General features: G+C 52.0%; 1 protein-coding gene and 1 long non-coding RNA gene across 7 annotated transcripts, besides 2 other annotated features; one reads left to right on the forward strand and one right to left on the reverse strand.

Moving 5' to 3' along the window:
- Positions 312–1,258: an enhancer, noted in NCBI's record as "NANOG-H3K27ac-H3K4me1 hESC enhancer chr22:36878117-36879063 (GRCh37/hg19 assembly coordinates)". NCBI's record gives its function as "activates a minimal SCP1, AML or CMV promoter by ChIP-STARR-seq in primed H9 embryonic stem cells {active_cell/tissue: H9 hESC(primed)}" and the evidence as "EXISTENCE:reporter gene assay evidence [ECO:0000049][PMID:30033119]".
- FOXRED2 (FAD dependent oxidoreductase domain containing 2) lies at positions 5,432–25,282 on the reverse strand. 6 transcript variants are annotated; one of them, NM_001102371.2, is made up of 9 exons: positions 25,251–25,282; positions 24,138–24,665; positions 22,757–23,008; positions 22,340–22,609; positions 19,483–19,649; positions 16,233–16,398; positions 14,209–14,450; positions 11,875–12,045; positions 5,432–8,509 (listed from the first exon to the last, which is right to left on the reverse strand). In NM_001102371.2, exons 2-9 carry the CDS (start codon positions 24,662–24,664, stop codon positions 8,250–8,252), a joined length of 2,055 nt encoding a protein of 684 aa, NP_001095841.1. In that variant the 5' UTR covers position 24,665; positions 25,251–25,282; the 3' UTR covers positions 5,432–8,249. The 6 variants fall into 6 exon arrangements, with proteins under 6 accessions (NP_001095841.1, NP_079231.4, NP_001349971.1 ...); NM_024955.6 differs by having other exon boundaries at positions 25,154–25,282; NM_001363042.2 differs by lacking the exon at positions 22,340–22,609.
- On the forward strand, positions 14,267–16,241 carry LOC105373020 (uncharacterized). The gene is made up of 3 exons (XR_938226.3): positions 14,267–14,496; positions 15,800–15,979; positions 16,097–16,241. It is a non-coding gene; the product is annotated as an uncharacterized LOC105373020 (long non-coding RNA).
- Positions 25,029–25,528: a silencer, noted in NCBI's record as "silent region_13670". NCBI's record gives its function as "represses an Ori minimal core promoter by ATAC-STARR-seq in GM12878 lymphoblastoid cells {active_cell/tissue: GM12878}" and the evidence as "EXISTENCE:reporter gene assay evidence [ECO:0000049][PMID:35858748]".

The following is a 26,055-nucleotide window of genomic DNA, read 5'->3' on the forward strand; positions in this document are numbered from 1 at the left end:
GGGTGCAGTGGCGCGATCTCGGCTCACTGCAACCTCCGCCTTCCGGGTTCAAGCGATTCTCCTGCCTCAGCCTCCCGACTAGAGGCGCGCGCCACCACGCCCAGCTAATTTTTTTATTTTTAGTAGAGACGGGGTTTCACCACGTTGGCCAGGACGGTCTCGATCTTTTGACCTCGTGATCCGCCCGCCTCGGCTTCTCAGAGGGTTGTGATTACGGGCGTGAGCCACAGCGCCCATCTGTCCCTCTCCAATTTGAGGGGCGTCTGGGATTTTCCGCCAATGGGAATGGCGGGCTGAGGCACAGTTGAAGGGGCGGGGCCTCAGCTACGGACCGGAAGCAATGGGCAGGCCGTCGGGGAACGGATTGGAAGAGGCGGGCGGGCCCTGGTCTGGGCGAAGGCGGGGGCGGGGCGGGGCGGAAACGGAAGGGGTGGGCGGGCCCTAGAGGAGGGACCGGAAGAGGAGGTGATGGAGCAGGGGTAGCAATGGAGGGTACTTAAGGGAGAAAAGGCAGTTGAGAAGTCCCCGTGGTTTTGGATTTTGCAAACTCTTGTTGCTTTATTTTATTTACATATATTTATTTATTAATGACAGAGTCTCGCTCTGTCTCCCAGGCTACAGTGCAGTGGCGTGATCTCCGCTCACTGCAACATCCAAATCCCGGGTTCAAGTGATTTTCCTGCCTCAGCCTCCCAGGTAGCTGGGATTACAGGCGCGCGCCACCACGCCGGGCTGATTTTTGTATTTTTAGTAGAGACGGAGTTTCGCCATGTTGGCCAGGCTGGTCTGGAACTCCTGAGCTCAAGTGATCCGCCCGCTTCAGCCTCCCAAAGTGCTGGGATTACAGGCGTGAGCCACCTTGCCTGGCCTCCTGTTTATAACTGGCGCTGTCCACTTCCTACAGATGTTGACAGGTTCTGTTTCTCCATTTAATATGTAAAGCTAAGCTCCTCAAAGGCATGATGCCCTTTATATGTAAAAGAACTCAACCGGGAGTTTAGGGGCCATCCTTTAAGTGGCCCTCGTCTGTGTCCGCCTAAAGGAAAACAAATGAAAACTGAGGCGAGCCTAATTTAAGCAGGGAGTTTTTTTGGGTCAAGTTCGAAGACTGCAACTCGGAGCAGAGATTCAAGTTGTCCTGAATATACACTCGGATTAGCAGCAGCTGAAAGAGCGTTTTTAAAAGAACAGGCAGTTTCCAAATTGTTGATCAAAGTTTTTTTTTTTTTTTTTTTTTTTTTTGAGACAGAGTCTCGCTCTTGTTGCCCAGGCTGGAGTGCAGTGGCGCGATCTCGGCTCACTGCAACCTCTGCCTCCTGGGTTCAAGGGATTCTTCTCCCTCTGCCTCCCCAGTAGCTGGGACTACAGGCGTGCCTCACCACGCCTAGCTAATTTTTATATTTTTAGTAGAGACGGAGTTTCACCATGTTGGCTAGGATGGTCTCGATCTATTGACCTCATGATCTGCCCACCTGGGCCTCCCAAAGTGCTGGAATTACAGGCGTGAGCCACTGCACCCAGCCTTTTTTTTTTTTTTTTTGAGACGGAGTCTTGCTCTGTAGCTAGGCTGGAGTGCAGTGGCATGATCTTGGCTCACCGCAACCTCCACCTCCAGGGTTCAAGGGATTCTCCTGCCTCAGCCCCCCAAGTACTTGGGATTACAGGCGAGCACCACCACACCTGGCTAATTTTTTATATTTTTGGTACAGAAATTTTATATTTCACCATGTTGGCCAGGCTGGTCTCGAACTCCTGACCTTAAGTTATCGCTCGCCTCGGCTTCCCAAAGTGCTGGGATAACAGGCGTGAGCCACCGCGCCTGGCCGCCCTGCCCATTTTTGTATCGGTTTTCTGTGTCTCTAGCACTTTCTTTTCCACAGCCACCTATCAATCCTATTCAGCACTTCCACAGTATTTTCTAGAGAGCCAATTTTCCTGCCTAATTCACATTCTGAATTTCACAGGCGGACCAGTCCTGTTTGTCCTTATGCCATAGTCACTTCACCCTGATCGGCCTCAGGCTTCTCATCTGAGCAATGGGAAGAATGCCTTTCTCATAGCTGGGCTGAGGGTTGCAGTAGAGACAGAATCCACATCATTGCTGCCTGATGACTCCTGCAGGGAAAGCCTGAGAGACACAGAGAAGGCTGAGCTCTCGGCGCGCTACAAAAGGGCTCTCAGCTACATGGTGGCTCCTCTGTCCAGCTAGAGCTGAGCTGGCCTGGGTCTGGCTTAGTCACAAGCAGGCTCAGGGCACAGCTGAGAGGCAAAGGGAAGGAAGCCAGGACTGGCAGCCTGGGCTAAGGGTAAAACTTCTACCTCCTACCAATATTTATTGCAGTGTTTTTCAAACTGCAGGATATGGACGTCAGTGGGTTTGCAAAATTAATTTAGTGGGTGGTGATCTGCTTTTTAAAAAAACAAACATGGTGCCAGGCGTGGTGGCTCACACCTGTAATCCCAGCACTTTGGGAGGCCAAGGCGGGCAGTTCACTTGAGGTCAGGAGTTCGAGACCAGCCTGGCCAACATGGTGAAACCCCATCTCTACTAAAAATACAAAAATTAGCCAAGCGTGGTGGTACACGCCTGTAGCCCCAGCTACTCGGGAGGCTGGGCAGGAGAATGGCGTGAACCCGGGAGGCGGAGCTTGCAGTGAGCCGAGATAGTGCCACTGCACTCTGGCCTGGGCGAAAGAGCAAGACTCTGTCTCAAAAAAAAAAAAAAAAAAAATAGCTCTAAGGTCTTGCACTAACCGGTATGACCTGTCTGGCGTCTTTACAGGCAGTATTGGAATGTTATAGGGAGACATACAGGGTTTAAGAAATCCATCACGGAGAAGACCTTCAATTATCAATTATAGGTTTTAAATTTACCTCGGCTTTGAAAGGAATAGGATACATTGCTTTCTCTTTACTACTTCCCCAGGGGTTTGTAATTTAACATGAAACTGAGTAATCTGTAACTTTCCTCGATTCTCGTCTTTTGACCATACCTTGGGATGAATGAGTTCTTTGTCTGTGGTGGGGAGCAAGTTTAGGGAGGGGAGGAATCTTCCCTGATTAATATAGAGGCCTAAGCCAAATTTTAGCATTAAATCTCTCTAATAGGTTTGTTCCTGCCTCTGGAATAAACAGAAATTTAATATTAGCTGATTTGCTTTTATATATGACTTTTGTTCTTTTTCCCATTTGGGACATTTTCTTTTGAAGTGACCTATTTTTAATCTGAAACATTTATTTTGTCCTCTTTCTCTCCCTTTGCCTCTCCCTCTCTGCCTCTTTTTCTCTCTCACTCTTTCTCTTTGCCTCTCTCTCTGCCTCTCTCTTCCTCTTTGACTCTCTCCCTTTGCCTTTCTCTCTGCCTCTCTCTTTCCCTTTTTGCCTGTCTCTCTCTCTTTGACTCTGTCTGTTCTGTCAGTCTTTCTCTCTCCTCTAAGTTTTTTTTTTCTTTACTTTTGAGTCTCCTGGCTTTACTCTTTCATACTCTATATATTGCCTGGAGAGTGGGGGTCTAGGTTCTTTTTTTTTTTTTTTTTTTTTTTTTGAGACGGAGTCTCGCTCTGTCGCCCAGGCTGGAGTGTAGTGGCGCGATCTTGGCTCACTGCAACCTCCGCCTCCTGGGTTCACGCCATTCTCCTGCCTCAGCCTCCCGAGTAGCTGGGACTACAGGCGCCCACCACCATGCCCGGCTGCTTTTTTTTAGTAGAGACGGGGTTTCACCGTGTTAGCCAGGATGGTCTTGGTCTCCTGACCTCGTGATCCGCTCGCCTTGGCCTCCCAAAGTGCTGGGATTACAGGCGTGAGCCGCCGCGCCCAGCCCTCAGTCTAGGTTCTTTATAGGTTCTGGCCCCCTGGGTACTTTGTTGTATGGTAGACAGCAGAATTTTTGCCTTCTGCTTTTGTTTTTCATCATCTTTTCTTATATATACCTTTTGGGCTTCTCTTAGAAGCTCTTCTATAGGTTTATCTTTCCAGTTCTCTATCTTTTGTAATTTCTTGTTAATATCTGGCCAACTGTTAGTGACAAAATGAAGTTTTAACATTCCCTGCCCAAGAGGATCCTTGAGACCTAGACCAGTGTATTTTCTCATTTGTTCCTTTAATCTATCTAAAAATTCTATAGGCCCTTCATCTTTCCCTTGCTGTATATCAAATATTCGGGTAAGATACTGAGTTCGGGGTACCAATTTTTTTTTTTTTTTTGAGATGGAGCCTTGCTCTGTTGCTCAGGCTAGAGTGCTGGAGTGCAGTGGCGTGATCTCGGCTCACTGCAAGCTCCGCCTTCTGGGTTCACGCCATTCTCCTGCCTCAGCCTCCTGAGTAGCTGGGACTAAAGGCGCCTGCCACTATGCCCAGCTAATTTTTTTGTATTTTTTAGTAGAGACGGGGTTTCACTGTGTTGGCCAGGATGGTCTCGATCTCCTGACCTTGTGATCTGCCTGCCTCGGCCTCCCAAAGTGCTGGGATTACAGGCGTGAGCCACTGCGCCCAGCCTCGGGGTACTGATGCTTTAATCCCCTTTATTATCAATTCCTTAAGGTCCTGCATATTTTCTCGGTGGGCTGCGTTGTTATTGTCCCACTGGGGGTCTTGGGTGGGAGTTTTTTGATCTGCTGTAGGAACGTTTTGGCCAGGAGGGTGTTCGTGTTCCTAGGCTCCCATAGCAGCTCTATGGATCATGTCTCTTTCTTCCCCCGAGAAGAGGGGAAAGGGAAATTCTGAATATCTTTTTTACATTGCTCTATCTCACGTTGAAGTCCTTTAAGGGAAAGGTACTTAGGTCGGTAGTGAGTGGGCTCTTGGGACGATTCTCAAGAGGCAGGGTTGTAAGAAAGGGGACATCAGAGATAGGAGAAGGGTCTGGGACAGCAGCTGCTTTTGTTTTTGGTCCTTTCATTATCCTTCTAACATTTTAACATTAGGCCTGGGGGAATATTACTGTTGCTAGCTTTCTCCTTTTTATCTCTTACCTTACTTGGGGCATTTCCCATCTTGGGTCCTGGTTAAGCTCAATCTCCCCTGTTGGAGATGTCTCGCCTATCCTTTAGCCCCACCTGCTGGAGGCTCCTTGCATTCATGCACACTTTCAACCCCCAGAATATCCTGACCACCAAGGAAATACTTTGTCACCCCTGCGATGTTTCTTAGCTTGGTCTCTGCACACTTACTTGGTCGCTGTGGTACATGAGGATCCTTTCCCCCAGGTCGCCAGCCCGTTTCTTTCTGCCTTGCTGAGAGTATAGGTTTATTCGTCACACTGGTTGGTCTCGATTCCTTACCCCTGTGGCCACCGCAACAAGGCAGTGGGACGTGCCTCCTCATGGGAGAGGTCTAGACCCTCCTCAGAGGAGGATGGGAATCCCAAATGAGACCCCAAATTTGTTAGAAATAAATTTTCAGTGCCACAAAAGAAATAGCACTCAAACATACATTTTCTCAGCAAGGCAATTTTACTTCTATACAAGAGTGCGTCTCATGGATGGTGCAATGGCGAGAGCACACCGGAACAAGGGAGGGGAATGGGTTCTTATCCCTGATGCAGGTACCCCCTACTGCTGTGTTGTTCCCCTATGGGCTAGGGTTGGACCGCACAATCTAAGCTAATTCTGACTGGCTATTTTAAAGAGAGCAGGGGTATAAGCCAGAGTGGTGGGGTGAGAAGTTTAGACAGGAAAGATGGTTACGGACCAGGTGACTAAAGGTGACTCAGGTCAGAGCAGGTGACAGAGGCTAGGAGGGGATTGTTTACTGAAACTAGGGGCAAGGAGACATAAAGAATGAGGAAATTAAAAGTTAAAATGAAGAACAAAGAACAGGTGAGCTGAACATACTGATACATTGGTTCTTTGGAGAGGATCTCAGAACTCAATGTACTTAACAAATTACAGGCTAAAACCTTTGAAGAAGAATTTATGATATCCTACATTATCATGGGGTAAACAATTCGTCCCTGACAGAATAAGGCTACTGGAGTTCTCTTCTTGTAACTCTGGGAAGGACTAGAGGGAACTGTGTCTGCAGTGGGGCCAGGTAGTTAAAAAGTCTGGACTGGGCCGAGCGTGGTGGCTCATGCCTGTAATCCCAACACTTTAGGAGGCCAAGACAGGTGGATCACCTGAGGTCAGGAGTTCGAGACCAGCCTGGCCAATGTGGTGAAACCCTGTCTCTACTAAAAATACAAAAATTAGCTGGGCGTGGTGGCAGGCGCTTGTAATCCCAGCTACTTGGGAGGTTGAGGGAAGAGAATTGTTTAGACCCGGGAGGCAGAAGTTGCAGTGAGCCGACATCGTGCCATTGCACTCCAGCCTGGGTGACAAGAGCGAAATCCATTGCAAAAAAAAAAAAAAAGAAAAAGAAAAAGTCTGGACCAAGCCAAGAGGGGAAGAGGACGTCCCCATGAAAGAGCTTTGGATCCAGAAAGCCCGGGTTCTTGGAATTCTTTTTCTCTTTTCACTTTTGTTGTAGCATACTTTGTTCTTTTTTATTTTTTATTTTTTTGAGATGGGGTGTGGGGGCTTTACTGTGGGTCTTGCTTTGTCACCTAGGCTGGAGTACAGTGGCTCGGTCTCTGCTCACTGCAACCTCCACCTCCCAGGTTCAAGCAATTCTCCTGCCTCAGCTTCCCAAGTAGCTGGGATGACAGGCATGCTCCACCATGCCCAGCTAATTTTTTTTACCGTTAGTAGAGACAAGGTTTTGCTATGTTGGCCAGGCTGGTCTCGAATTCCTGAGCTCAGGTGATCGGCCCACTTTGGCCTCCCAAAGTGCTGGGATTACAGGTGTAAGCAACTGTACCCAGCGCATGTTTTATTTTAATTTAATTTAATTAACTTATTTTTTGAGATGGAGTTTCCCTCTTGTTACCTAGGCTGGAGTGCAATGGCGCAATCTCGGCTCACTGCAACCTCTGCCTCCCGGGTTTAAGTGATTCTCCTGCCTCAGCCTCTCCAGTAGCTGGGATTATAGACATGTGCTACCACGCCTGGCTAGTTTTGTATTTTTAGTAGAGATAGGGTTTCTCCATGTTGGTCAGGCTGGTCTCAAACTCCTGACCTCAGGTGATCCACCTGCCTGGGCCTCCCAGAGTGCTGGGATTGTCCTTGGAATTCTGAGTGGATACATGAAGAGTTAGTAAGAACCAGTGAAAAAGCAATCACTTATGATCCTGGGCTTTGAAAAATCACTGTGATTATCTTATGCACTTACAAATGAGACTAAGACGCCTGATGGGAAAGTGCAGATTGCTGGTGAGGAAGGGCAATGAAGAAGAGACTAGGAACCAAATTCATCATCATTATCACACAAAGGCATTTGGAAATGTCACCTTACACATGGTGAGCACATATGGGTGCCAGCCCGAGACAGCAGGATAAGTTTCACAAAACTTGACCAGGCAGGTTAGAAGCAAGGCATGGTTCAGGATGGCAGAGGGCAGGGAGACAGAAGGGAGTAGGATGGGAGAGAAGAGCCAGCTGGAAGATGAGTCAGGGGGTGCAACTGGGGAGAGCAGCTCTGAATCCTGCTTCTCAGTGAGAAAGTTGCTAAGATGGCTTTGCAGGGAGCTGTCCTATCGCTGCTCGAGATCAGCCTGCTGGGCCTATGATGATAAGCAGGGCTGACCCTCTTGGGCTCTGTAGCTAAGCCCAAACCCTGCTGAAAATGGGGCGGGGAGGTTGAGGCAGTGTGTGGCAAGTGACACAGACGGGGACTCCCAGCTGGGGGTCCCTGGAATTACTTGACATCCCACAGCTGGTGTCTTCAGCAGTCATCTGGGGCAACAATCCCACCTGCCCATTGTGGTTGTTGAGGATATCAGAGCTTTTGTTTTAAAGCGCTTGCCACAAACTCTTAAGATGCGGATGGGTTTCCCCTGTGAAGCACTCCACAGGCGGGATGCAGGCCCATCTGAGGAGGGGCTTGGAAGGAAGAGGAGCACTTGAGACGGGGCAGAACTGGGCTGGCCTGGGGCTCAGCGACAGCTCCATTGCAGACAAACTGGGCTGGGGAAGGCAGCTCCCACCTGGCAGAGGATGCCCTTCTGCCCCCTGACAGGAGGGAGGAGACCACCGCATCCCCGACTTTCAGCCCTCACGTGCCATCTGGTGGCTTTGCTGCAGACACTGCCATGATCTGAGTGGTCTTTGGCAATCACGCATTGGCGGGAGTGTGAGGTTGCGGGGAAAGAGGGACTGACCATGGGCCTAGGTGGGGAGGCCTGGCCACTGTGCCCACAGCTTAGGAAGGGACAGTCAGAGCTCCTCTTTGTTGCTATCGACGGACTGAGCCAGAGGCCCTGGAGCCAGGGGGGAACCTAGTGGCTCTTGGTCGCCAAGCTGCTGGCTGCTGTCCTCCAGGCGCCTGCCTGTGGGGGCATAGTCCCGCAGGAGCCTGCTCTCCACTCTGTGCTGCCAAAGGCTCTCGGTACTCACGAGTCCCTGCATCCTCAGGTACCCCTGCTGGCAAAAGGGTGGCAACTTCTGGCGCGTGAGGGCGAACAGGAAGCAGGACTCTACACAAAAGCAAAATGAGGAGAATGAGCCAGGCTGGGACATGTGGGGAGGGGTGCAGAAAGGGGAGCTGCCAATGCCAGGTGTGGGGGCTTCACTGCAGGCCTTGCCTGGTATCTTCCATCCCTTGAAACTGGGAGCTGACCTTTCTGGGCATCTCACGTCCAACCTGAGTAGGTCATGAATCATGACCCTCCACGAGGCTCCAGGGCAGGGGGCTGCCTTGACACTCTGGAAGAACAAGGCTCCAAAATAAAAGCAAACCACAGCAATGCCTCAGCTCCCAGACATCAGGGCTGAGCACCGGGCTCTGCAGGCAACCACACTGGGGGCGGGGCTCCGACCTTCATGAGCAGACCCTCGGCCTGGTGCGGCTGGGAACTCAGTGGTCAGTTCCACTGTGAGCTCAGATCTGCCTGCAAAGACGCAGTCCCTCAACAACATTTGAGTTGCAAATACCATGTGCAAAGTTCTGATCTAAACAGTGTGGGGGATAAAGAAAAACGGGTATATCCTCATCTGTCCCACAACAGAAAGCTGGTGCATGAATCAAATTTGGTCAATCATAAGATAGCTGTGGATACTTATCATGTAGAAATATGAAGAAACGGCCGGGCGTGGTGGCTCACGCCTTAATCCGACAACTCTGGGAGGCCGAGGCCGGTGGATCGCCTGAGGTTAGGACTTCGAGACCAGCCTGGCCAACATAATGAGAAAGAAACCCCGTCTCTAGTAAAAATACAAAAATTAGCCAGGCGTAGTGACAAACACCTGTAATCCCAGCTACTCGGGAGGCTGAGGCAGGAGAATCACTCGAATCCAGGAGGCGGACGTTGCAGTGAGCCAAGATCGTGCCACTGCACTCCAGCCTGGGTGACAGAGACTCTGTCTCGAAAAAAAAAAGAAAGAAAAAGAAATATGAAGAAACAACCAAAAGAAGCCATGCAAAGAGAGAAGCTACTGAAAGGAACAACCGCTAGGTCTGGGAGTTCCTCGTGGGAATGAGAATGAAGGTAGGGAAAGCGGGTGACATAGTTTGGGTCTGTGTCCCCGCCCAAATCTCATGTTGAAATGCAATCTCTAATGCTGGAGGTGGGGCTGCTGGGAGGTGACTGCATCACAGGAGTGGTTTCTTTTTCTTTTTTTTTCTTGAGGCAGAGTCTCCCTCTGTTGCCCAGGCAGGCTGGAGTACAGTGGCACGATCCCAGCTCACTACAACCTCTGCCTTCTGGGTTCAAGTGATTCTCCTGCCTCAGCCTCCCCAGTAGCTGAGACTACAGGTGCCCGCCACCACGCTCAGCTAATTTTTGTGTTTTTTAAGTAGGGAGAGGGTTTCACCATGTTGGCCTGGCTTGTCTTGAACTCCTGACCTCAAGCTATCTGCCTTTCTCGGCCTCCCAAAGTGCTGGGATTACAGGCGTGATCCAGCATCCAGAAATAGATGCTGCCATGCGTCCATACAGCCTGCAGAACTGTGAGCCAATTAAACCTGTTTCTTTATAAATTACAGTCTCAGGTATTTCTTTATAGCAATGTGAGAACAGACTAATACAGTGAGAAAAAGTCATTTAGCCAAGTACTTATAAGACTTTAAACAAACAGAAGAGCTGACACAGATATGGGCTCAGCCTTCTGAGGGAGTTAGAGACAAGGGCAGACAGAGTGTCAGGAATGGGCTGGAGTCCTTCTGTAACTCTGAGCGAGCCTTCTTGCCTCCCTGAGCCCCTCTATCTCAAGTGAAAAATGGGCACAGCACAAAGGATGTCGTGAGGCTTCCATGGGTGACCAGGCTGAAAGGTGCTCCAGAAATATGACTTCCTGTTTATTTCTGACTCTTAGCATGGAGGCCCCTGGGAGGCCAGGCCATGGCAAGCCTCTCCAAGCGGGTAAGAGAGCAGATGAGGAAGAGGACAGCGGGAAGACTGGGAGGGCAGCAAGGTGGCTGTTTGGCAGGCACCACCTTCTGACAACATCATCCCTTCTGCAGGGGGCTCAGATGCTCAGCAGAATCTGGGGCCAGCACTAACAGCTGCACATCAGCTACAGTAACAGAGGGACGGCTGCCACTATGCCAGCTGGCCGCCTGCTGGGCGGATTCTCTCCAGTCCAAGGCAGCAGCACACAGTGGCCTGTACAGTCAAACAGTGTCTAGAAAGTGGGAGACAGGAGGCTAAAGGGCCTGGGACAATGCATTGGTGGGACCCACAACTCAGGGTGGGAATTCACTCCCTCACACACCCTGGCATTTTTGTTGTTGTTGGTTTTGAGATGGAGTCTCGCTCTGTTGCCCAGGCTGGAGTGCAGTGGCATGATCTCGGGTCACTGCAACATCCGCCTTCCGGGTTCAAGCGATTCTCCTGCCTCAGCCTCCCGAGTAGGTAGCTGGGATTACAGGCACCCACCACTGCCCCCAGCTAATTTTTCTACTTTTAGTAGAAATGGGGTTTCACCATGTTGGCCAGGGCTGGTCTCGAACTCCTGACCTCAGGTGATCCACCCACCTCGGCCTCCCAAAGTGTTGAGATTACAGGCGTGAGCCACTGCACCTGGCCTAAAAGTGTATTTCTTGAGAAGGTGTGCATTTGCTTCTGTGATTTCTATAGCTCAATGATCTCATGAAGTTTGGCCCCAAATTTACATAAGCAGGGCCTACTGGTTGAATATTTTCAGAGATTTTTCTCTCCCACTCTATCTAGGGCCAAAACCATGCATGTCATCTATCTCCTCCTTTGGAGGGTTTTGGCTCCCAGCTTCCCTACTGAGATCCAAGCTTTATTGGAGTGTCTCTAAACAGGCCTCCCATCCTGCTCCAGCTCTGTCTTCCCACCCATACCTGGCCCTGGCGCCTTCCCATGGCGCCTGGCCCTGCTAATCCTTTTGAAAAGACATATTATCAGCTGGGTGCGGTGGCTCACACTTGTAATCCCAACACTTCAGCAGGCTGAGGCAGGCGGATCACGAGGTCAGTTCGAGACCAGCCTGGCCAATATGGTGAAACCCCATCTCTACTAAAAAATAAAAAAATTAGTTGGGCATGGTGGCATGTGCCTGTAGTCCCAGCTTCTTGGGAGGCTGAGGCAGGAGAATCGCTTGAACCCGGGAGGCGGAGGTTGTAGTGAGCTGAGATTGCGCCACTACACTCCAGCCTGGGCAACAGAGCGAGACTCCATCTCAAAAAAAAAAAAAAGAAGACATATTATCCATTATTTTTAGGTGAGTTGTAATTTAACCCACGGCATTGTCGGGAACAGTAGTCTGGGGTTTGGATTTCCAGATATGGGTCCTGAAACTCCACGGGTCTTGGGTCTCTGTGACCTTTCTTCAACCTGGAGCTCAGACCCTTTGTCTTTCTGGGAGCTTAAGTTACCTGCATAGAAGCTTCGCAAATCGGTGTCCAAACAGTTCTCCAGGAAGCGCCTCAGAGGTAGGATGTGCCCGATCGGGGCAGTCCAGTCTGTTAAGAAGTCTTCCACGATGTGATGGATGGCCGTGGGCCGAGGCAGGGGCCAGTGTGCAGGGCGGAACCTCACCTCCTGTTCTGTGGGGAGGAGAGAGGGGGCCATGTCAGAGCTGTGAGGCTGGGCTTCCCCTCCTCGGGCCGACACAGCACGGATCCCACACAGCCCAAACACTTCCCTCGTTCACTCGTGCTCGGCTTTCCCGACAGCCTCCTATGCTGGGCTGTGGTCAGACTGTTCAAGAGCCACCTGCAGATATTTGAAAGGCTGCCATGAGGAAGAGGAACTAGGCTTTTCCCTTGTGGTTTCGGAAGGCAGTGCTGAAGCTAACAACGTGAGGCTGGCGTTTCCCTAAGACTCACATGGACTGAGATCTACTGTGGCTGCTTTTTATTTTGTATTATTATTTGTTGGAGACAGTCTCGCTCTATTGCCCAGGCTGTCATGCAGTGGCACAATTTAGGCTCACCGCAACCTCTACCTCCTGGGTTCAAGCGATTCTTGTGCCTCTGCCTCCAGAGTAGCTGGGATTACAGGTGCCCGCCACCACACCGAGCTCATATTTTACATTTTTCGTAGAGATGGGGTTTCTAGTCTCTACCATGTTGGCCAGGCTGGTCTCAAACTCCTGACCTCAGGTGACCCACCCGCCTCAGCCTCCCAAAGTGCTGGGATTACAGGCATGAGCCACTGCGCCTGGCTGTGGCTGCTTTCAAACTGGCCTTTCTCTGAGAAGACTCAGATAGAGGCGAGGGGTCTCAGCACTCATCTAGTTCAGCTTCTCCCTGGTGTGGGCTCCCTTCTGTGGTGTTCCAGTCAGATGGCCATCGAGTCAAGACTTGGCCGTCGCTATTCTGGGAAACCTGAATTTGGAGGTGACCAATTCCCCCACTGAACAGCTTTAACTCTTAGTGCCTCCTTTTTCTTTTTTTTTGAGACAGAGTCTCGCTCTGTCTCCCAGGCTAGAGTGCAGTGGCACAATCTTGGCTCACTGCAGCCTCTGCCTCCTGGGTTCAAGCGATTCTCCTGCCTCAGCCTCCCTAGTAGCTGGGACTACAGGCGCACGCCACCACGCTGGCTAATTTTTGTATTTTTATTAGAGACGGGGTTTCACTATGTCGGCCAGGATGGTCTCGACCTCCTGACCTCGTGATCCGCCCGCCTCGGCCTCCCAAAATGCTGGGATTACAGGCGTGAGCGACCGCGCCCGGCCTTTTTGTTTGTTTGTTTGTTTTTTTTGAGACAGAGTCTTGCTCTGTAGCCCAGGCTGGAGTGCAGTGGTACAATCTCGGCTCACTGCAACCTCTGCCTCCCGGATCCCGGTTCAAGCAATTCTCCTGCCTCAGCCTCCTGAATAGCTGGGATTACAGGCATGTGCCACCATGCCCAGCTAATTTTTGCATTTTTTTCATGTTTTTTTAGAGATGGGGTTTCACCATTTTGGCCAGGCTGGTCTTGAACTCCTGACCTTATAATCCGCTTGCCTTGGTCTCTCAAAGTGCTGGGATTACAGTCATGAGCCACCATGCCCAGCCTCTTAGTGCCTCCTTATACTGACCACAGACCTGCACCCGTCACTGCTACCTGCTGACACGACTTCTGCCTTTGGGAACAACCCCTGTTTAAACCACCCTCTTCTACCTGACTGCCCTTCAAGCTCTGAAGCAGGGGGTGCGTTCCCGAGGTTGTTCACTTATTGGTAGCTACTCTGTGCCTGCAGTGGGCTGGCATTCTGTGTACACTGTCAGGTTTAACCTCATGGAACCCTACAAGAAAGGTACTGTTGTAATCCCCATTTTACAGAGGGGAGGTTGAGGCTCAGAGAGGTTAAGTAATGGTCCAAGGTCACACAGTGACAAAATGACAGGCCTAGGGATTTTGCCCAGTTTCTCTGTACTGTGTTAACCAGCTCCAGTTCCCTCTACTCTTCAGACCCCTCCCGCCCCACCACAGTCAGCCGCCTCTGGAGACCTGCAGCAGGGCCGTGTCCCTCTTACTACACAGTGCCTGGCGGAGAGCACGACACCCCCCGCATGGCCTGTGCCAGTCACGGTATGTGTCAGAATCTGGAAGCATCGTTCATCATTCTCGGACCTTCTGCCCAAGTGGTCTCTAGGCAGAGTCCCGCAGCCATCCCACCTGTCAGCTGAGCATGTGTGTGAAGGTTTCAGGGTGGGTGACAACCTTGCAGACGGTGAGGTCTGAGGAGCCCACAGGTTGGGGAAGGGCAGAGACCTGCTCACCGGTGGGGAGGTATCTATAGTAGTAGATGACAGGATGAAGAAAGTTAGACTGCCAGGCATCTTCTGTGTGCCCCACAGACCGGTCATCAAAGAAGACGTCCTTGTCGGGGCCAGAGAAATTTCTGCCATATTCCATGTTGATGACGAAGAGCCCGTGCTTTGCCTTCCTCCCTGTGAGTGTCTCCAGCTGGGCCAGCATCTGTATGGGGAACTCCTCCAGGTACTCAAAGGCCGTGGAATTCCTGGGAGAACAGCAACGCGGGGGAGGCCCTCAGTGCTGTGGCAGAGGTGAGGGGTGCAGCCCGGGGGTGAGCATGTGTGTGTGCGTGTGTATCTCCCCCTCTAAGGAGCGTCAATCAAGCAGCACACCCCTCACTTAACATTACTTTTTCAGCTCAGCTCTCACGCACATGTGGGGTAGAGACCAGAAAATTCCATGTAACCTGAATGGGATATCTGGGGAAAGAGTGTCCCAGGCAGAGAGAACAGTCAGGAAAAAGCCCTGAGGAGTATGTGAGCACTTTGTGTTCAAGGAACAGAAGAGGCCGACGTGGCTGAGGGGAGTGAACAGCAGGCAGAGGGCAGGAGAGGGGGCCGGAGGCCTTGAGAGGTCAAGGAGGGCTGCGCCTCCCATGACGAGACGTGAGGAGTCGTCTGGCCCGAGAGGTGACACTGCTGGTTGCTTGGGAGGACTGAGCAGAGCTGGGATCAGCATGCCTCAGGTTTCTAAGGACCACTCTGGTTACTGTGCTGAGAACAGACGCCAGGCCAAGTGGGGCGGCTGTTGTATGGGTGCAGGTGATACAGCCTGGTGATCGGGACCGAGGTGGTGGTGGTAGAGCAGGTGAGAGCTGGTTGGGCTCCAGACATCATCTGAAGGCAGAGGTGACAAGACTTGCCCATGGTTTGCATGTGGGGTGTTGAGACAGGGGTGCCAGGCGTGCTGACTCACGCCTGTAATCTCAGCACTTTGGGAGACCAAGGCGGGTGGATCACCTGAGGTCAGGAGTTTGAGACCAGCCTAGCCAACATGGTGAAACCTAGTCTCTACTAAAAATACAAAATTAGCCAGGTGTGGTGGCATGGGCCTGTAATCCCAGCTACTCGGGAGGCTGAGACACGAGAATCGCTTGAACCTGGGAGGTGGGCTGCAGTGAGCCAAGATCGCACCACTGCACTCCAGCCTGGGCAAGACATAGTGAGACTCTGAGTCAAAAAAAAAAATTAGCCAGGCATGGTGGTGGGTGCCTGTAATCCCAGCTACTTAGGAGGCTGAGGCAGGAGAAGTGCTTGAACCCAGGAGGCAGATGTTGCAGCGAGCAGAGATCGCACCACTGCACTCCAGCCTGGATGACAGAGCGAGACTGTCTCAAGAAAAAAAAAAGAGGGGCAGGGGCATGGAGGGTGATGCGAGGGTTTTGTGCAGAAAGCGGCTGCACTACCTGCATGTCCCTGAACTTGGTGTGCTATAGCACGCCCTGCCTTTGGATCGGGCTGTTCCCTCTGACTGAAGGTTGCTCCCTTGCTTCTCCCTGCCACCTGTCTCCCCCCGCCCCTCACCCCTCTGTGCTCTGCACCGTTTCCTTCTCAGGAACTGTCCATCCTCTGGGATCTGCTGCTTATCACTAAATTGACTCTGACGATGGTGGCCGGCAAGGCCCTGGCCTGAGGGAGCTCTGAGATCCACGTGGCTGCCTCTGACTACTGCTCATCCACGTGATGCCAAACACTTTCCACAAGTGACCTTTACTCCTTCCTTTACTGCTGCAAGGTAGGCACAATTATCCCCATTTTGCAGATGAGGAAGAAGGGCTCAGAGAGGCTCACTAATGTGCCCGTGGCCACTCACAGGACTGTCTGTAGAGTTAATGTCATTGTTTTTCCCCAGAACAGGCATGTTCCCCACAGCAGCCTTCATCTTAGGAAAGAACTGGGCACCTCACACCTGGAATAGGAAGAGAAGCGCTATGCAGCACGTCGGGAAAGCTGGGCCGAGGGGAGTAGGGTGGGGACGGGCTACTCACTCCTTCAACAGGATGACATCGGCCAGCACACCGAACATCTGGTAGAGCCCAGAAGCCTCATTCACGCGCCGCACGATGGAGCTGGTCAGCTGTGTGATGGGGAGCTCAGTGGCGGGCCAGGTGACGCTGTGGTGGCGGTGCTCCAGGAGCCGGTGAACAGCACGCACTGGAACAGCCAGAGGGAGGAACGGCACGCTGCACTTACCATTTTATCTCTGGTCACTGGGAGGGATGCCCAGGCCTCATTGACCCCTGAGAACGCCATACACACTGGTCTCCATGGCCCAGCGCAAACGCCTAGGTGGTGAACACATGAGGGGAGGAGATGGCAGCTGCCTTTAGAGCAGGGCCAGCAGGTATTTTCTGGAAAGGGCCAGACAATCCATATTCTCTGCTTTGTGGGTCATACACGACTCAGTGATGCTGCTCAATTCTGCCCCTAGTGTAAAAGCGGCCAAGACAACAGGCAAAGGAGTGAGCACAGCTGGAGTTGGTCTCCAGGCCAGAGTCCATCTGCCCCTGCTTCAGGCCATCTGCACGTGGGAGTCCCACCGGCCCCACCTCACACAAGGAACGTCAAGTCCAACACGGAGCCTTCCCCAGAAACCTCCCCCCCTTCACAGCTCTGTTTCCATCAGAGACGCGCCTACAGAAATCTTTGATTTCGCCCTCTCTTTCACAGCCTAAATCCATCTGTCTCTAAGTTCTTTTTTTAAATATTTTTTATTTTATTTTTTTGAGACAGGGTCTCGCTCTGTTGCCCAGGCTGGAGTGCAGTGGTGCGATCTCGGCTCACCGCGACCTCCGCCTCCTGGGTTCCAGGAGGAACCGACTCCCAGAATTGAGTCCAATCCTTTGCCCGTACTGTAAGACCCCTCTGCAGTGGTCCCTACACTTATTATTGTAGTCCTCTAACCTGGAATAAAGTCCACCTTACCGTCTTCATTTGTATTATGATTTTTGAGACAGAGTCTCACTCTGATGCCCAGGCTGGAGCGCAGTGGCACGATCTTGGCTCACTGCAACCTCTGCTTCCTGGATTGAAGTGATTCTCCTGCCTCAGCCTCCCAAGTAGTAGGGATTACAAGCCTGGCTAATTTTTGTATTTTTAGTAGAGATGGGGTTTCACCATGTTGGTCAGGCTGGTCTCGAACTTCTGACCTAAGCTGATCTGCCAGCCTCAGCCTCCCAAAATGCTGGGATTATAGGCATGAGCCACTACGCCCAGCCTGCCTTACTGTCTTTAAAAAGAAAAAAGAAATATAAATATTGAATGTCTTTGAGTGGCAGAATATAAAGATTACTCCCCGTAATTCCCTACATTTTCACATTTTTGATGCTCAGGCTAGGCATGGTGGCTCATGCCTGTAATCCCAACACTTTGGGAGGCTGAGGTGGGTGGATCGCTTGAGCTTGGGAGTTTGAGACCAGCCTGGGCAACATGGCGAAAACTTGTCTCTACCACACAAAAATAAAAACAACAAAATTAGCTGGGTGTGGTGGTGCACGCCTGAAGTCCCAGCCACTCAGAAGGCTGAGGTGGGAGGATGGCTTGAGTCTGGGAAGTCGAGGCTGCAGTGAGCCGAGATGGCGCCATTGTACTCCAGCATGGGAAACAGGAAGAGACGCTGTCTCAAAAAAAATAATAATACTAATTTTTTAAAGCTCAGCTGTAAGATTATGACTCCATTCTTTCAAATAGACTCACCTAACCACCTAACTGAATACTGTATGCCTCACTGAGTGAATTTCAACCAACACCCTGTCCTTCTCAGAAGGTTAACCACAGGAGCAGGAACATCTAATTTTTATTTATTTATTTATTTTTGAGACAGAGTTTCACTCTTTTTGCCCAGGCTGGAGTGCAATGGTGTGGGCTTGGCTCACTGCAACCTCCACCTCCAAGGTTCAAGTGATTCTCTTGCCTCAGCATCCCGAGTAGTTGGGATTACAGGCGCCCGCCACCATGCCCGGCTAATTTTGTATTTTAAGTAGAGGTGGGATTTCACCATACTGGCCAGGCTGGTCTCGAACTCCTGCCCTCAGGTGATCCACCCACCTCAGTCTACCAAAGTGCTGGGATGACAGGTGTGACCCACCGTGCCTGGCCACATCTAACATTTTAGACTCCTCTCCACAGAAAGGGCACCAGTTTGCTTTCTATGAAAGAAGAGAAGACCTTTGTAGAAAGTGTCTTTCAGGAAAGCTCCTGGGCCTTGGAGTTTAATTCCCATAATGGTGAGAAAATCACCAAAACTCTGAGCCTCAGAGTTTTACACTCTTGAGGAAAATGGAGATTTCACACCCACCTTTCGGGGTGCTGGCGGCCCTGCCAGGGTCGTGTGTTCAGTGCTCAGCCCACTGAAGTCACCCAACATGCGTGAATTCATCTCTCTCACTTCCTTTTTATTTCCCATTTACTCCTAAAATCACAAGTATCAATTTTTGGTTGGGGATTATTTTAGTGCAATAAATAGAATTATGTTTTTAAAAGATATTTTAGTATTTTCTTTGTAAACATTCTCAAGTTGGCAGAAAATTTATACCCTTGGTACTGAGAGTTTTGAAAAAGAACTGATATAATCCAATTACATTTTTTTTTTTTTTTTTGAGATGGAGTTTTGCTCTTGTTGCCCAGGCTGGAGTGCAATGGTGCGATCTCAGCTCACCGCAACCTCCACCTCCTGGGTTCAAGTGATTCTCCTGCCTCAGCCTCCCGAGTAGCTGGGACTGCAGGCGCACGCCACCACACCTGGCTAATTTTTGTATTTTTAGTAGAGACAGGGTTTCGCCGTGTTGCCCAGGCTGGTCTTGAACTCCTGGCCTGAAGCAATCCACCTGCCTTGGCCTCCCAAAGTGCTAGGATTACAGGCGTGAGCCATTGCACCTGGCCTACACTTAATTTTATTTTATTTTTGAGACCAAGTCTCGCTCTGTCACCCAGGCTGGAGTGCAGTGGTATCATCATGGCTCACTGCAACCTTGACTTCCTGGACTCAAGGGATCCTCCTGCCTCAGCCTCCCAAGTAGCTAGGACTACAGGCGTGGACTTTTACACTTTATCTGATACTTTCCTAAACATGTCGTCAGACCACAAAAACCTGTTGTCACTTCCCCAAGACAATTTATGACAATGAGCTACTGACAAGCAATCCCCTAATGCTTCTGGACATAGGAGTAGATTTATAAACCCTGGGATGCTGAGAGTGGTTCCGTCTGGGGACAGTTCTGCCTTCTCAGCTGGGCTCACCTGTGTATCGGAATCCGTGGATGAAGCCCCCAGCAGATTTCCGGTAGTCCACCGAGTGGCTGGCAGTACCCAGGATAAACAGACCCCGGCTTCCTTTGGATTCGTAGCTAGCTCGAATCAGCGGGTACTTCTTGCCGAATGCATTTCCCGAGTTAAGTCTGAGGGACCTGTCAGTGGAAAGGGCTGTTCATGAAAATAGCTGCTATGTAAGAGGCACTTATTTATTTAGTTAGTTTTGAGATGGAGTTTCGCTCTTGTCGCCCAGGTTAGAGTACAATGGCGTGATCTCGGCTCACTGCAACCTCTGCCTCCTGGGTTCAAACTATTATCCTGCCTGAGCCTCCCGAGTAGCTGGGATTATAGGCTCCTGCCACCATGCCCAGCTAATTTTTGTATTTTTAGTAGAGACCAGGTTTCACCACGTTAGCCAGCCTGGTCTCGATGTCCTGACCTTAGGTGATCTGTCTGCCTTGGCCTCCCAAAGTGCTGGGATTACAAGCGCGAGCCACTGCACCCAGCCAGGAGGCACTTATTACAGTGGCACTTATTACTGGCACTGAGTGCCTTAGATTTCTCGTCTCATTTAAACCTCACCATGACCCCAGGAGGTGGGTATTATCATCTCCATTTAAGAGATGAAGTCGGCCAGGCGAGGTGGCTCACGCCTGTAATCCCAGCACTTTGGTAGGCCGAGGCGGGCGAGTCACAAGGTCAGGAGTTCGAGACCAGCCTGGCCAACACAGTGAAACCCTGTCGCTATGAAAAAATACAAAAAGAGTTAGCTGGGGGTGGTGGTGCAATGGCTGTAATCTCAGCTACTCAGGAGACTGAGGCAGGAGAATCGCTTGAACCTAGGAGGCAGAGGTTGCAGTGAGCCGAGATTATGCCATTGCACTCCAGCCTGGGCAACAGAGTAAGACTCTGTCTCAAACAAACAAACAAACAAACAAACAATGAAGTCAGGCCAGGCACAGTGGCTCACGCCTGTAATCCTAGCACTTTGGGAGGCCGATGGAAAGGAGGGTCTGGACAGGCACACCAGCTTCTCCTTTGTCTTTCTGCACCCTGGTCAGAAGACAAGTGAAAGACTGGATGCTGCTTTGATACCAAACCTCCCGAGGTAGTCGGCAGCAATGTTTAAAATCTAGGCTTCATAAAATAGCCCTTCAAAATACAATGATAAATAACTTAAGCAACTAACATTTTATTGAGCACATAATACATGCCAAGTACTTTCTTTATTTTAAGAGATAGGGTCTCATTATGTTGCCCAGGTTGGAGTGCAGCAGCTATTCACAGGCATGATCATAGCACACTGTAGCCTTGACCTCCTGGGCTCCAGTGATCCTCCTGCCTCAGCCTCCTGAGTAGCTAGGTACTCATCACTGCACCTAGCTCCCAGCACTTTCTTTCCTTTCTTTCTCCCCTCTCTCTCCTTCCTTCTCTCCTCTCTCTTTTTTTGTTTTTGAGATGGAGATCTTGCACTGTCGCCTGGGCTGGAGTCCACAATGGCGCGATCTCGGCTCACTGCAACCTCCACCTCCCAGGTTCAGGCGATTCTCTTGCCTCAGCCTCCCGAGTAGCTGGGATTACCGGCACGTGCCACCATGCCTGGCTAATTTTTTGTATTTTTGGTAGAGACGGGGTTTCGCTACATTGGTCAGGCTGGTCTTGAACTCCTAACCTTGTGATCCGCCCACCTCAGCCTCCCAAAGTGCTGGGATTACAGCATGAGCTACTGTGACCAGCCATCTCTTTTTTTTTTTGAGACAGGGTCTCACTCTGTTGCCCAGGCTGGAATGCAGAGGCATGATCTTAGTTCACCACAGCCTCGACCTCCTGGGCTCAAGTAGTCCTCCCACCTTGGCCTCCTGAGTAGCTGGGACCACAGGCATGTGCCAACACACCTGGCTAATTTTTGTATTTTTTGTAGAGGTGGGGTTTCACCATGTTGTCCAGGCTAGTCTTGAACTCCTGAGCTGAAGTAGTATGCCTGCCTTGGCCTCCCAAAGTGCTGGGATTATAGGTGTGAGACCATGAGCCACTGCACCTGGCCTCTGCACACATTCTTCTTTCTTTTTTTTTTTTTTTGAGATAAGAGTCTCGTCACCCAGGCTGGAGTGCAGTGGTGTGATCTCGGCTCACTGCAACTTCTGCTTCCCAGGTTCCAGCAATTCTCCCACCTCAGCCTCCTGAGTAGCTGGGATTACAGGCACCCACCACCACGCTTGGTTAAATTTTTGTATTTTTAGTAGAGATGGGGTTTCACCATGTTGGCCAGGCTGGTCTCGAACTCCTAACCTCAAGTGATCCACCTGTCTCGGCCTCCCTAAGTGCTGGGATTACAGGTGTGAGCCACCGCACCCAGCCTCCAAGCATATTCTTATGTTAATCCTCGCAATAACCATATGAGAAACAAACTTTGAATCCCATTTTAGACATGAGAATACTGGGCCACAGCGTGGTTAAATAACTTCCGCCGAGGTCACAGATTTGGCAAGCAGAGAATCTCAGGACAATTCCGGCACCTGTGCTCTCAGCCACTACGCTATATTGCCTTCGAGCAAATTCCCCTCTGTATTCTCTCTGAGCCGGCCTTTCCAACTCACAGGTGGAGGCTCCCAATGCTGATGAAGATCTGCTGGTGTTGCTCCAGGACCAAGGGCCTCAGGGCCACCTGGGACCCTCAATGGTCAGAGCTCATGTCCTGGAGGGAAATCAGGCAGCACTCACATCCATTCTTTGGGTGCTGTCCTGAGAGCTCTGTCGCCAGCCTACTGAACAGCCACCCTGTTCCCCTAGGGAGGGGTCAGGAGGGTTTGCTAGGAGAGCCCACCTCCTTCCGCATGGAACTCACTTATTGAAAATGGAGAAGTCAAAGTTCCAGCCCAGGCAGCGGATTACCCGGTCATAGGGCACGCGCATGGCAAAGTTGTCATTGTCGTCCTGGGGGAGGGTGATGGAGTCGGCACTCTGGTTGGTGTTGGCTTCTTCCAGGAAGAATTTCGGGGTGACATGGAACTTGCCTTTGCTGTCCTTCAGGATGGCCAGATCCGTCAGGTCAGACTCGAGCAGCCCGTCCAGGGACTTGAGCTGGTAGGTATCCAGCAGGCCATTGTTGATGGCTCTGAGCCCACAGAGAATGCAGGGGAGAGAGACTCAGAGGAAAGCTGGGCAGTGCAGCTGGGGTCAGGAAGGGCAGGGGAGGGTTGGGGAGGCTCTTTCCACACTCTGGGCTCCCAGCACAGAACACACATGCGGGGATGTGGCCTACCTGAGGTCTCCAACGTAGTGGGTGGCCCAGGACAGACGGACCCGGGAGCGGCTGAGCATATGGATAAAGTTTGTGACACCCAAGATGTTCTCTGCTGTCTCAAAGGCCGAGTTCCCACGACCCAGGATCAGCACATTCTGGCCTACAAAGTCCTCAGGGTCCACGGACACGGACTCGTAACCCTCTGCATATTCGGAGCCAGGGAAGTCAACCTGGTTGGGGACTGATAAACCAGTGGCTACAAAGAGGACGCTGCAGGCGGGGACAGAGGAAAGATGGCTTAGTCTCTTAGCTATAAGACCACTAAGTGAAAACCACTCCCTGGACCCACCCACCCACCTGCCTGGCTCCAACCGCCGGCCCCTAAAAGAAAATAGGACATTCATTCATTCATTTTTCATTCATTCATCTGTTTACGCCCTCATCCCAGTGCACTTGAGAGGCTCTGCCCTTGCCTCTCCCTGAGCTCACAGTATTTTCCCTAGCACTGTACTGGGGGTTAAATTTGCCCTGTGAGAGAGGAGAAGATGACAGTATGAGAAATGGAGAATTCACCTAACTTTGCACATAGCAGTCAGACCAGGTATGACTGCTGGTGATGAAATGAAACCTGACATTCTACTTTCCCCTTTCTGAGTCCTCTGACAGATACATCTATCCACTGAGCAGTAATTCTGTACCAGGCCCTGTACTAAGTGTATCTGTGCACCATCTTTCTGACTCCTCCAAGCAACCTGGAGGTGGTATGTGGCCTGCTTTACAGGTGAGGAGGCACAGGCCCTGCAGGCCCATGGCTTGAGAGCTCCTAAAAGCAGCAGAGCCAGAGTCTAAACACAGATAGGCTTGATTCCAAAGTCCTGCTCCTTCCATTGGTGAGGATCGCCATCCAGGGGAGGGCAGCTGGGGACTTGGATCCTGCCGGCTTGCAGAAGAATGCTTTGATCACAGAGTGGTTTCAAAAATAGAATTGAAGGCCGGGTGCGGTGGCTCATACCTGTAATCCCAGCATTTGGGGAGGCTGAGGTGGGTGGATCTCCTGAGGTCAGGAGTTCGAGACCAGCCTGGCCAACGTCGTGAAATCTCATCTCCACCAAAAATATAAAAAAATTAGCCGGGTGTGGTGGTGCTTGCCTGTAATCCCAGCTACTGGGGAGGCTGAGGCAGGAGAATCGCTTGAACTAGAGAGGCGGAGGTTGCAGTGAGCTGACCTCGTGCCATTGCACTCCAGCCTGGGCGACAGAGTGAGACTCCGTCTTAAAAAAAAAAAAAAGCGAAATACCCTTTTTCGTCCATTCCTCCCATACCTACTGGCCAATCAAGGTGTGTGGTTCGTGTGGGGAAGGTCCCAGCTTCCGCAGGTGAGCTCTGGCACCGGCCTTACCTGCACTGATGCACCTGGCCCTTCTGGTCAGTTAGGATGAAGTAGTGGCCATTCCAGGCCTGTCGGTCCTTGTCCAGAGTGACGTGGGCGATGGTGGTGTTGTACTGGACACGGAGCCCCAGCGTGTCCGCGAAGTCACCCAGGTAGCGCACCATGTCGCGGGCGTCGGGGAAGTAGGCACGCGAGTAGTGTCTGAAGAGCAGCCGGGGGTCGTGGCTGAGCAGAGAGTTCCAGTCGTGGCGGAGGTTGAACTCGGCGTTAGCCTTGCCCGTGTACCGCTTGTTGATGCTGATGAGCTTGCGGTGCCGCGGGTAGCGTGTGAAGAAGCTGCCGGGCCGCGGGGCCCGCTCGAACACTGCGTAGTCGCGTCCAGCGCGCTGCAGGAAGTAGGCCATCTGCAGGCCCGCGGGCCCAGCGCCCAGCACGCAGTAGTCCCGGCGCGGGGGCACCGACAGCGCTGGGTGCAGGGCGATGGCCAGGAGCAGCCCCGGGGGACCCCACAACGGGGCCGCAGCGGAGAGGCCCATCCTGCAGCAGATCAGAGGGGTAAGGCCTCGCACCCGGCCCGGCGGCTGGGAGACACGAGGCCCAGAAAGAGGCGGGGCCTGCGGGAACTCTCACTGCAATCTGGGTCACGGCCAGGCCCAGAAGCCGTCCTCAGAGCTCATTTGCCCGGACTCCACCGTTTCAAGCTGGGACTTGGGGCTCCCCGGAATCCCGAGCCCCTCCATCTTATCTCCCTCAGGGTCTCCTTCCTCAGGGGCACCGGCTCCCCGCTTATGATTGTAGTAACCTCCACCCTGGGGAAGGAGAGCGTACTCCCCAATTTTCCCCTAATTTGAGGGTGCCCAACACCCCTTTGAACCACCCTCCAGGTTGGACCTTCCAGAGGCCTTGGCCCCTCTCCAGCGACCGGGTGGGAGCCTGAAGTGGGTGTGGCCTGCGTGCGCCCCGCCCCCTGCCAGGGTCCGCGCGCCCCAGGCTCTTCGGCCACGTGACAGGGATGCCGCGCACACCTGCCGCCCGCCCGCGTGCGCTTCAGGAGCCGCCAGGTCCCTACGCCCGCAGCTCCGGCCTCCCCGCCTCCGACCGAACCCTGAGAAACGCGCGAACCTCCCAGCCGCTCCGGCTGCAACCCGTGGTCTAATGAGGCCGCGCTTGGCTCGCTTGCTCCGCGGCGGCTCCGCCCCTCGCGCCCGGACCAATGGCAGGGGGCGGGGTCACGTGCGCGGCGCGCGGCACGCCGGGACCAGCTGGCAGGCTGCCTGCTCCGGCCCAGCGCGGGAGAGGCGCGCGCGTGCTGCGTTCGCTGCTCCGGGGGCTGGTAGAGGGGCCTGGGGCTAGCGCGCACCCGCGAGGGTGGAAGGTCTGGAGATCCGGGATGGGGAACTGGGTCCTTCGTTTTAAAAGGTGCCTCTCTACACGGAGGGAGGGGAGCACGTGATTTTTGGAGCTAATCCTAGCTCTCATATTCCATGAATGTAGCCAAACGCTAAAACTAGTTGGCCTACCCAGTTTTGTGGGACTGGAAACCAGCGTGGTGGAGCCAGGACCGATAAGCCAATTAACAAGCGTTTGCTACAGTGACTCAGTGTACTGCTTACCAAGTAACATACACGACTGTCCTAATCTTCCACCAAATAGGAGAGGTGGGCAAGGCATTGTTTCCGACATTTGGTAGCTGACTGGTCAAATGGAGACATAGGGATGAAGGGATATGTTTACAATCACAGGAAGTGGAGCCTGGAATTAAAACTCAGTGGAGGCAAGATAAATGGCAGGAGGAAGATAACGTGAACTGGATGATGAAGGTTGGCTTCCCAGGGGTGGCAAGTGGCCCCTGCATGAGATTTACATGGGGAGAAATACGAAGTCAGTGTAGGAACCTTCAAAGTCCAGTGAAATGGGGCTGAGTGTT

Source organism: Homo sapiens, chromosome 22 (assembly GCF_000001405.40).
Source record: "Homo sapiens chromosome 22, GRCh38.p14 Primary Assembly".
NCBI lineage: Eukaryota > Metazoa > Chordata > Mammalia > Primates > Hominidae > Homo > Homo sapiens.

What these genes read in the sequence shown, in the direction of transcription:
- FOXRED2 (NM_001102371.2), bottom strand. Translation starts at nt 24,664, where the DNA reads ATGGGCCTCTCCGCTGCGGCCCCGTTGTGGGGTCCCCCGGGGCTGCTC. An exon ending in CCACGGATTCCGATACACAG is followed by an intron (nt 16,399 to 19,482) that starts GTGAGCCCAGCT and finishes TGGCTGTTCCAG; the next exon opens with TGCGTGCTGTTCACCGGCTC. An exon ending in GATGTCATCCTGTTGAAGGA is followed by an intron (nt 14,451 to 16,232) that starts GTGAGTAGCCCG and finishes CTGTTCTCCCAG; the next exon opens with GAATTCCACGGCCTTTGAGT.